Here is a 10,362-nt window from a genome sequence, read left to right as displayed (position 1 = left end):
TTCTCCAGAGAAACAGGATTTGTATTTATTTACTTATTATAAGGAATTGGCATGTGATTGTGGAGGCCAAGAAGTCCCAAGATCCGCAGTTGGCAAGGTGGAGACCCAGGAAGCCAAAACCCTGAGAACCAGGCGAGCGAATCTCCTAAGTTCTAGACCAATTCCGAGTCTGAAGGCAAGTGAAGACCAAGAGCACAAATTCTCTCTTACTCAGACTTAGACTTTTTCTTCTATTTAGGCCTTTGATAGATTGGATGAGGTCCACCCACAGTGGGCAGGGCAAGGTACTTTATTCAGCCTACCAATTCAAATGCTAATCTCATCCAGAAAAACTCTTATGGACACATTTAAAATAATGTTTCACCAAATATCTGGGCACCCCATGGCTCAGTCAAGTTGATACATGAAATTAATCATCACATATGGTAAGAGCACAAGCTTTGTAAACAAAGTGAACAGGATTCAAATTCCTGCTCTGCCATTTATCAGCTGTGAGGCCTTAGTAGTTATCCTAATTTGCCTTACAGAAAATGTTTTATTAAAAACAAACTTTAGCTGTATTCATATTGTGATGGACTCTAACTCCCAGCCTGACATGTGAATTATTGGTGTTCTGGTTACACCTGGAGCCCTGTTGTCCTCAGAATTCTGGCAAAGTCTATGATCCTTGGCAGAAATGTGTTGCCTCTTTGGAAACACCAGGTTCCAACACTTTGGAAACTCTTTATGCTTACCCTTGACTTACTTCCTGATAAATACATGGGAATGATTTCCAGATTAGCGCATGGCTTCCAAAGACAATATGAACACCCTGCCAAAACTGCTGCCCAATGCCTTTAAAGGTTGCTTTTCAGTTTGAGATTAATTTTTTATGTAACAATAGACAACTAATATAGGTCACCACTCTTTTTTCCCCCTATCTAATTTTTTATTATACTTTAAGTTCTAGGGTACATGTGTACAATGTGCAGGTTTGTTACATATGTATACATGTGCCATGTTGGTGTGCTGCACCCAGTAACATGACTAAAACACCAAAAGCAATGACAACAGAAGCCAAAATTGACAAATGGGATCTAATTAAACTAAAGAGCTTCTGCACAGCAAAAGAAACTATCGTCAAAGTGAACAAGCAACCTACAGAATGGGAGAAAATTTTTACAATCTACCCATCTGACAAAGGGCTAATATCCAGAATCCACAAAGAACTTAAACAAATTTACAAGAAAAAATCAAACAACCCCATCAAAAAGTGGGCAAAGGATATGAACAGACACTTCTCACAAGAAGACATTTATGCAGCCAAAAGACACATGAAAAGATGCTCATCATCACTGGCCATCAGAGAAATGCAAATCAAAACCACAATGAGATACCATCTCACACCAGTTAGAATGGCAATCATTAAAAAGTCAGGAAACAACAGGTGCTGGAGAGGATGTGGAGAAATAGGAACACTTTTACACTGTTGGTGGAATTGTAAACTAGTTCAACCATTGTGGAAGACAGTGTGGTGATTCCTCAAGGATCTAGAACTAGAAATACCATTTGACCCAGCCATCCCGTTACAGGGTATATATCCAAAGGATTGTAAATCATGCTGCTATAAAGACACATGCACACGTATGTTTATTGCGGCACTATTCACAATAGCAAACACTCTTTTCTAACTCTTCTATGTATGCTTACAGATAAACTTTAGAATCACTTAATTACTCCTCACCCAAAATATCATTGTTATTTTAAATCAAGAAATCTCTGCAGAGTATTGATGTATTAGTCAGGGGTTCTCCAAAGAAACAGAACCAATAGGATATGTATTAGCAGGATATGGATTAGGATCCTGCTGCTAATTAGGGTGTGGATAAGCTATAGAGAAGAGAATAAAATTATTTATTTATTTTTCCTTCTGATCCTTTTGCAATGAGTTTCCCTTCTTAGAGCTTGAGGCTGGTAAGGATTATTTTTTTTAACCTCACTTTCGAGCTGGTGGAAACGTGACAATGGCGGCATATATTTGCCAAGATGTGGGTGGTTTGTATGTGTTGTCGGCCCCAGCTCTGAGCCCAGGACAAAGAGCAACACCAGGCTAACAACCCAAGTGCTCACTACCCAGGCATTGCCTGGCTACATGGCCTCAGGGATGCAAAACTTTCAAAAGTTTTATAGCTTGGAGTTTGTTGCTTACTTTTTTTTTTTTTTTTTTTTTGAGAAGGAGTCTCACTCTGTCACCCAGGCTGGAGGGCAGTGTTGTGATCTGGGTTCACTGCAACCTCCCCTCCCAGGTTCAAGCAATTCTCCTGCCTCAGCCTCTGGAGAGCTGGGATTACAGGCGCACCCCCACCGCACCTGGCTAATTTTTGTGTTTTTAGTAGACGGGGTTTCACTGCATTGACCAGGCTGGTCTCAAATTCCTGACTTCAGGTGATCCACCCACCTCGGCCTCCCAAAGTGCTGGTATTATAGGCATGAGCCACCATGCCCAGCCTGCTTACACTTTTAAAATAAAGCTTTCTATTTTCATATTTATATTCAAGTGTCATAAATGATTTATGGTGAGGGTGAAATGACTCATCAGAGATGACAATGATTATGAAATGAGCATAACAAACATGAAGGGTCTCAATTTGAGGCTGCCGTGTTATTACCTGATGTGGGCTGGTCTCTAAGGGCAGAAATGCCTCCGAATAGAAGGAAAGAAAATTTAACTCCTTGTTGCTACTAGTAGAAGAAATTAAGAATTAGCAAATATTGGGCTTTCAAAATTATTGTTTTCCAAATTTTAGAGGTGGGTGTGTGTGGGCAGGAGAGTGTGTAATACATAAACATCTAGACATGAATTTGTATATAAAGAATTGTAACTTTCTTGTTTTCTTTTCTTCCTTCCCTCCCTCCCTCTGTCCTCTCTCTTTCTATTTTAAACACTAACTCAATTTCCTTTTTAACTCCATCTTGCTATTTGACAGAAACCTAATTTGGATTTGTGTCTCACTTCAATTCCCGGTGTTTCGCAGATAGTCAGGGGCTTGCATAGAAGCAGCACAGATCATGGTCATCGTGATGCTGGGTGGGTGGGGGTCATCTGTGTAGGCAGGTCCTTGACTTTACCCATCCACTCTGACAATGGCTGAAAATCCATTTAGTCCTTGGTCCTAGGCTCCTGAGGGTGGCTTGCTGCTGAATCACACTTTGTTTCAGTATTGTTAGGGTCAAGGAGGATTTCGTTCTGCTTCAGTACCATTCTCAGGCCCCTGGAGTCAGTTGCTTCCTGGACCATGGTGGGAAGGGAGCCCTGTATGACTATTACAGCCATTGTGACTAATCACATCCATATATACTTTTGGGCTAGTTCTTGCTACCTCCCTTGGCTCCACCTACTTAAGGGGCATAATTCCCCCTTGCAATTGGACATCCTCAGACAATGTGACACTTCTCCCCACCAACTGCCTGAGTCATCATTTTCTCAGGAGTCCACCGATACTGCCTGCATTGTCTTCATTTCCTTTCCAACTCTGTGCCATCCCCCTGAAGAGGAAAGCCTTTCTCTGGGTTGGCCAATGAGGAAACTGCGATTTCTCATCACAGCTTCTAAATGGGTTGCTACTATGTTTTATGAGACTTTCCTTTTACTCAGAGACTAGACTTAAAAAAAAAACAAAAAAACAAGGACAGGCTGTTGCTTTTCCCCCAATCATGTATCATCTGCTTCTTCAAGCAAATCAGCCTAGATTATCCTGACTGCTTCCCACAGGCAGAGGAAGGCGAGTGGGAATGGGAATGCAGGGGAAAGTCATGCCTCCTGCGTGGAAGCCAGCTTTGGAGGCTGGAGGTGTCATATAGGGCGCTAAATCAAGGTCAATCGCCTTTCATTCCTTCAAATACAATGATGGAAATTGTGGTCAAGGAACTGTCGTTTCCATGTGATTCTCCTGCTTTATCTCTTTGTTATGCCAGGATGCTGGGTACTGTGGCCCTCCCTGTCGCTTATGACGCTCCTCCACCTTGGCTTCTTTGAAGGCATTCTCCCCTCTGGCAGGACCTTCACTTTCCAGGCTGTTCTCAGCATCCCCCCTTCTCATTTCTCCTGAAGTGCTGAGGGTCCCCAGGCCTCACCCTGTACCCTCTTCCTGGATGTCCTCATCCCGGCCTGGCACTGCTGTTTCGTGACTTCTGGTGATCTCTTCCAGCTGATAAGCAATAAGGAAGGATTGGTGGAGTTGACTGTTAGCATCTTTTCACATCTAATGAAATAATAGGTTGGGCCCTTACCACCAGTGTCTGCTAATGTCAGAAAGGTGAGGCTAGCGGGCTTCTGTGCCTAGTGCTGGAAGTGCTGGCATCGCATGAGGGCAGGCATCCCTCAGCATCTGCAGGCACTGCTTTCAGGGCCCCCGTGGGTGCCAAAATCTACAGATGCTCAAGCTCCTGATAAAAAATGGCTTCGTATTAGTATGTAGCCTACATACATTCTCCCATATGATTTAAATCACCTCTATATTACTTATAATATCTAATACAATGTAAATGTTATGTAATAGTTACAATATTTTATTGTTTAAGAAATAATGACAAGAAAAAAGAAGTCTATACATGTTCAGTACAGACACGATTTTCTAAAAACTATTTTCTATCTGCAGTTGCTTGAATCCATGAGTGCAGGACACACAGATATGGGGGGTTTGTTGTATTTTATTGCTAAAAATTTGAACGTGGATGTGATAAAATATCTAGATTGAATTACCAGTTAACAGGAAATATAGGAGACAGGGCATCATTGGGATACAATCAGCAAAATGTAGACTATATAAAATTCTACCAACAAACTACTCACTTTCTTCAACAAATAAATTGAGAAAGAGTAAGGGAAGAAGGGAGGTAAAAAAATGGAGAGAGAGAGAAAGATGGCAGGAGAAAGAAAGAGAGAGAGAAAGATTTTAGAGTCTGCAAAAACCTTAAGAGACATCCTGGTTTGAATTCTGATTCAGATTTTAAAAATACGTATTAGTCAATGGGAAAAATTTGTACATAACTGGATATTTGATAATATTAAGAAATTATTGCTAATATTTTGGTGTGATAGAGGTATTGTGTGTTTAAAAAAATCTTCATTCTTGAGACATTTATGGATGAAAAGATGTGATGTCTGCTATTTGCTTCAAAATAGTTAAGGTTGGGCATAGGTGAGGGCATAGGTAAAACCAGATTGGCAGTGGAATGACAATCTTGGAAGCTTGGTGATGGATACGTATAGGGTCCACTATCTTATTTTCCTAATCTCGGCATATGTTTAAATTTTTTAGAATAAACCAGCAAATAATGAAGCTAAACATCATCCATATCTGAGCTCCAGACCCATCTAACCATACACCAGGTAGTCACAGAGACGTCACTTCTATTTCCCACAGGCACCTCCAGGTCATTGATTCTAGATGCCTTTTCCTCTGCCTAGCGCCTGGCCTCTGTTTCCTCTGCTAATGGCACTGCTATTCCTCCAGCCATCCAGGCAGCACCCCAGGGCTTCATCTGAGTGGCTTCCCTCCTCCAGCCCCCACCACATCCCGTCAGTGTCCGCCTCCTCAGATTCCATCCCTCCCCTCACCCTTTTTTTTTTTTTTTGAGACTGAGTCTTACTCTGTCACTCGGGCTGGAGTGCAGTGGTGCAATCTCAGCTCACTGCAACCTCCGTCTCCTAGGTTCCAGTGGTTCTCCTCCCTCAGCCTCATGAGTAGCTGGGATTACAGGCACCCGCCATCATGCCCGGCTAATTTTTGTATTTTTAGTAGAGATGGGGTGTCTATGTTGCCCAGGCTGGTCTCAAACCCCTGACCTCAGGTGATCCGTCCACCTCGGTCTCCATAAGTGCTGGGATTACAGGCATGAGCCACCATGCCCAGTGATGCCATCCCCTTAATACCTCTCCTATCAACCTTGTCCTCCTCACTCCATGGTCATTGCACTAGCTCAGCCACTCACTGTTTCTCACTTGAGGTCCTGCAGAACCTCCAAACATTCCATACTTATTCTTCAAAACTTAGTTTTCAGGGTCATCTCCGCTAGGAACCTCTGCCGACCTCACCTTTAAGGGAGCTTTGCTCTGTGCCTGTGTGGCATCCTGCATGTCTGCTTCACTGGCTGCATCACCAGTCCTGCCATGTTCTCATTCTTTATAGCAAGAAAGAAAAGGAGAACTGACAAGGTGGGAGGAAGGGGCTTCCTCTGCCTGTCAGCATTTCCCCCACACCCCATCTCCTAGAAGAGCCCCATTTTCTGCCACAAAACCTGGCCTGCATGCAACCTCCTCCAGAAGCTCTCCTCATCCCGTCAGGCTGAGTTAGGCGAGTGCATTCCATGCCCCACTGCACGTTGTCCATCCCTGTAACACGACACAGGGGCATGGGCTTGTTAGCACCAGTTAGTGTTTAAATCATCAACACCAGGGGGTGAGCATTTTGAAAAGTGTTTTGGGATCCAACACTCAGTCCCTGCTCAATTTTTTTCATGCTCCTCTGCTGCAGGAACTGTTTTAGAAATTGGAGATAGAGCAGTAAACAAAACTGCTCCTTAGGGAGCTTGCATTTTACTGCATGGAGGCACATGCTGACCCCATGCAAGAGCTGACTGTGAAGCATGCTGAAATGTCATAAGCACTTCAGAGAAATGAGAGAAAATGAGTAGGGGAGAGGGAGGATGAAGAGGCGTCGTGACTTTTCAACTGTCAGAGAAGGCCACTTGAGAAGGCGACATCTAACACAGACTTGAGTGAGCTGATCCCTGTGCACTTGTGAGGGAAGAGAGCTGCAGGCAGAGGGTCCCCAGGGAGGGCAGGCCCCAACTTGGGGCCCGCTGGGGAGGGAGACGTCCAAAGGAGAGCAAGGAAGGCTGGGCGGCCAGCCGGGTGCCAGTGCAGCTAGAGCCAGAGATGAGCTCTGTGGGCTGACGGTGACCTCGATCCTGTGAGGCCTGTGGACCACGGGGGAGATTCAGGTCATATTTCTCATCTGTTTGGGAGCCTTTGCAATATTTTGAGCAAGGACCTCTCATCGTTGACTCACATTTTATAAGAACCATTGTTGGCTGCTGCCTGGAGAACAGATAGCAGAGGTAAAGAGTAGAACAGGGGCTGGGCGCGGTGGCCCACGCCCATAATCCCAACACTGGGAGGCCGAGGCAGGTGGATTACCTGAGGTTGGGATTTTGAAACCAGCCTGGCCAACATGGCGAAACCCCATCTCTACTAAAAATACAAAAATTAGTCAGGCATGGTGGCACGCGCCTGTAATCCCAGCTACTGGGGAGGCTGAGGCAGGAGAATCACTTGAGCCCAGGAGATGGAGGTGGCAGTGAGCCGAGATCGTGCCACTGCACTCCAGCCTGGAAGACAGGAGACAGAGTGAGACTCCGTCTCAAAAAAAAAAAAAAAGAGTAGAACTGAGCACCCAGTTGGCAGAGGCGCTGATGGCTCCAGGCAGGTTGGAGGCAATCGAAGGAGGGTTGGATCCTGAATACACATAGAAGATGGGGCAGGATTTGCAACAAGTAGGATGTGGGTGGGAGAGAAAACTGGGAGTCGAGGTTGAAATGACCTCCCATAAGATCAGCAGGTAGTAGATACACATGTGTATTTGTTGAATGACCTAGCATGCATCGCATTCTGATAGATTCTTCATCTCTGAATTGAAATATCCTTGAGGGCTGGGATCATGTTTCACCTGACTTTACACCACCAACACCTTGTGTAGACCTCATACACATGAGGACCCACCACATATTTCCTCCATAATCGAATGTCATGGCTTCCAGGATGCAGGGGGAGGAACATGGCTTCATTCCTGCTCTGAGTCATCGTCACTGTTCCCACATCCACTTGGTGATGAGGGACACACATCTCAGCTGTGAAGCTCACAGAACTCACTCAAGAGCCACAGATCTATTTCGAACGCATTTGGAGAGTTGGTGTGTGCAATCCGAACAGTGAGTGCAGTGGGAACTGAACACGCAGAAGCAGATGCCCTACTCTCTGTGGGTTGCCAAGAGTTCAACTGAGAGGAAAGGGAGCACAGCCATTGTCTCTTGAGGAACAAAGATGAATCTTGCCCAAAATGAAGAATAGGCAGAGCTCTGATTCTTAAGGTCTCATTCAAACAGCCCTTTATGTGTGGTGGGTACAGATGAAGGCACTGAGTGGGAATGGCCAGGATTCCAACCTGCCGACTAAAACTGGTCTGGGATGCCAGCTGCCGGGGTTGACTGGAGTCCAAAGTGCTGGACCCAGAGAAAAAGAAATCCCAGGGGCCAGCACTGGCCTTTTAATTTTTTTTTATTTCTGCATCCCAGAATGGCAGAACCCACAATTGGCAAGATTTGCAATTTCCCTGCTGCTTCTTGTTTTCTGCACTGTGGCAAATGCAGCTTCCTTCAAACTTTCTTTTAATTGACTTTATAAAGTTACCCCAGAGTTAGCTCCTAAGAGGTGAGACTGGTGTGGCTGCTTTCAGCACTTGGGAAATAAAAAAAAATTTCTTCTAGCCATACCAAATACATCAACAGATAGTCTAAATATTATTTGTAAAAGGGCTAAATTTGGTGTCATGACTGGAAAGCACGGATAAAAGTAGTTCATGTATTATGTGCCAACTATGTGGTTGCACATGACCACAGCAAATAGCAAACACAAACCAAAATGTACTTATGGAATCTCTCTTTTTCTCTGTCATATCTATGTATATAATATAGGTATAAGATTGCACACACACACACACACACGCACACAACCTCTTGTAATCTTGCACAGAATTTGAAGCTGTTTTCAATGTATTTAGTTTAGTTACATGAATAAACATCTAGAACTGTGAATAACAAGTTACCAGTGAAAAAATTAAACTGATTCAATAGTTCCAAGGTGATTGAATAATTTGGCTCGGATATAGTAAGTACTTGGGAATTTTATTCCTCTTTGCTAAAGCTGATTTAGTATTAAGGAAATAAATGAAAACAATCTTGGCACATGTTGACCTCTGTTACAAAGTGCAACAAATAAATTCTAGGGCATTTGAATGCATGTTAAGTCAATTTTGTGTCCTATTTTATTAAAAAATATTCATGGGTCATTTCATTTGGTTGGTTGCTCTTCATTTCGACACATGGAAGTCATAAAAGCCTAGAGATTTGTTGACTAATTTGCAATAATACCCTCTGAAATGTGGATTAACCGTAAGCTCCACGTCCCAAATAGAAGCCTTCTTGAAATAAAAGGGATCACAAAGCTTCTCATATAGGTGCCTCCTTCATACAACCTTCTGACGTCTACGGCCCCAGATCTAAAGGGATGAGGCTCCATCAAAGTTCAGCATGATACTCAACAGATTTCAGTATCTTGAAGCCCAGGACTGTATGTCTTTATTCATTTGGACTCACTCTCACTTATAAGAGAGAATCTATAGTAAGAAATGTTTCTCAAATTGCTCTTAGCTGCTTCAGGAGCCTGCATGGGTGGCTGGTCCATGCTAAGGTTGGGGAGGGATGGCCTCTTGTGCTGTGGCTGGAACTGGACATCTGGGGTCTTGCTGTTTCATGTGGACCTTTAATCCACCCCTTCCTTCAGCCACATTCCAAGCCCAGCCTTTAGAGGTAGCTCTGCTGCCAGCTGTGGTGCCTTTAGAGATTCCATGGGCCTAGACTAGCTTGTTCTTTCTGCTGCCTTCCCCTCCTTGCCCCACTGCAGGGTGACCTCCGTTCTCTTCCTCCTAAGCCTGTCCACATGCCTCAGGCGTCTTCACACAGCTGCCATCTCTCACCTACCATCTTCCCTCTTTCATTTTCATTTTCCTTTTGGAGAGATTCAGATAGAGACATCAGTTTTTAAATTTCTTGAAAAATGTCTTGGGATTTCAGGAAGTCCTGGAGATAAATACAGAGTTTCTATCTGTCGTGCCTCACCAGGGTGTGTGTTGAAGTTCAACCTCAGGCCACACTCTGGTTTCCCTTTTGCAGGTCCAGTCAGCCAAGCTCAAGGGCTGATTCAATTCCTGTGCAAAGGAGAGATCTGGCCCCCTCCTTCTCATCCAAGGGGCATGTGCTTTTGCCTTGGGTAATCTCAGGAAGTGACCCAAATAATAGGAGATGCAGGACATGGATTAGGGATAGCCGCATTGGGTAGATCACTATTGATTTCATTTATTTCAGATTTTAGCATTTCTATATAGAACAATGCTGTTCATTTAGTCCTTACAATATTATAGAACTGGGCAAATTTAGTTTTGTAATTATCACAATGAGACAAAGAAATTATACATCCTTACAAACCTTTGTGGGATATTTTATTTGTAGCTAGAGTAGAAAGTTTAAATTTTGGTTGCCTCATTT

This window comes from Homo sapiens, chromosome 7, assembly GCF_000001405.40.
Source record: "Homo sapiens chromosome 7, GRCh38.p14 Primary Assembly".
Lineage (NCBI taxonomy): Eukaryota > Metazoa > Chordata > Mammalia > Primates > Hominidae > Homo > Homo sapiens.
The sequence above is the reverse complement of the archived record's forward strand: the minus strand, read 5'-3'. Positions refer to the sequence as shown.